This window comes from Homo sapiens, chromosome 1, assembly GCF_000001405.40.
Source record: "Homo sapiens chromosome 1, GRCh38.p14 Primary Assembly".
In the NCBI taxonomy this organism is placed as follows: domain Eukaryota; kingdom Metazoa; phylum Chordata; class Mammalia; order Primates; family Hominidae; genus Homo; species Homo sapiens.
The window spans coordinates 219,603,209-219,603,570 of NC_000001.11; the positions used below are offsets into that span (position 1 = coordinate 219,603,209).

The 362-nt window shown below is 30.9% G+C and overlaps 1 pseudogene; it reads left to right on the plus strand.

Moving 5' to 3' along the window:
* Nucleotides 1-259: 259 nt before the first annotated feature.
* LOC124904657 (uncharacterized) lies at nt 260-362 on the plus strand (annotated as a pseudogene).

The window sequence follows — 362 nt, forward strand, 5'->3', positions numbered from 1 at the left end:
CGCAACACTGGTCAAATATGCATAAAGCAGCTAATTGTGAAATATGAGTAATGGGTCTATTTGTTCAATGGGTAAAACTCACTTATCCTCCTTTAACATAGAAAATAGGATTAAATGTAAAACTTATGTCCCAGCTCATAGAGAAACTTACCAGAAACATGTCCAAGTACTTTGTTTACCATCCAACCCTTTTAGTTATATATCTATGAATATTAATATTGTAGTACTTCATACTTTTTAAGTATTTATAGATATACATATCGCTTCTCGGCCTTTTGGCTAAGATCAAGTGTAGTATTTATAGATATACGTATGTTCTTTTATTCCCTCCTCAAAAAATAATATTTTATTCATCATCCCCA